Below are 1,093 nucleotides of genomic sequence, written 5' to 3' on the forward strand. Positions count from 1 at the left end.
CCTTCTCTGCCATTTGAGAGGCTGGGGTCACGGCCATGGCCCATTGATTAGTGGAAAAGTTCTCTGAGGAATATTGCCAGCAGAAATTGCTAAGAAGTTGTCTTCTGGGATGCTTGGGAAACTATCCACAGGGGCAGTTGCTTCATGGAATTTGCTAGTAAGCTGCTTGAAGGGAGGCTGCCCTCTGAAATGCCAGGGGAAGCTGCCCATGCAAAGGTGCCATGCAGCAGAGCTCACTGGAGGGTGGCCCTACTGCATTTTCCGTGCCCTGCTATATGCTGTGTACCACAGGAGCAAGCAGAGAAAAACACTGGAAACAAGCCCTGTTTTCCTTCAGTGTTTCCTAGAGCCATCTGCTGACAACACGAACATTGGGCATCTGACAGAGGAGAAATATTTATAAGGTTTAGCTCCAGTATCACAGGCAGAGCAATGGAGGATGGATTTGGAGCTGCAAGGCAATAAACTGGTAACTGAACAAAGTAAGTAGAATTGCTTTTTTTTTTCCTAAGTGAAAACAAGGGGTCTTGCAAGACTTGGAATTCACAGATTTATCCAACAAGGGAAAACAGTAAAATTTTACATATGGCTTCATATAGTTGTTTAAACTTCATAAACAAGAATCTAGTTAATGTTTAGTTTTTGGAATATTCCTTTGAAATATTTAAGTGCATTTATGCAGTGAAAGTGTCAGAATTCTCAGTTTTAGCCTGTGAATATGCTCTATTGGAGAATTTTTTTTTAAATAAAAGATACTGCCTGGTCATAAACAGTTCATTCCCTAGGGGGAATGTCTGTGGTTTCTTAAAAATTGAGTTGGGGTAGTATTTGCATGGTTCAAGCCAAGCTGATTTTGGTGTATTGCTGAATCATCCAAGACACGGAGTTGTATTCCATTTAACCTGATTGGATAGAAATAAACATACCATGTGTTGAGGTTGCATCTACAATACATTGTAAATTGTAAAGTGCTATGTAAATCTACTCTAGAAGTATTTCTGTTTTGACTCTACTTTTTCTAATGTTATATAACTTTTATAACGTTTAAAAAATTCTCTTTGTAAAATCATTCTTAACAGCTGTTGAAGTGATA

The sequence above is a fragment of the Homo sapiens genome, chromosome 21 (genome assembly GCF_000001405.40).
Source record: "Homo sapiens chromosome 21, GRCh38.p14 Primary Assembly".
NCBI lineage: Eukaryota > Metazoa > Chordata > Mammalia > Primates > Hominidae > Homo > Homo sapiens.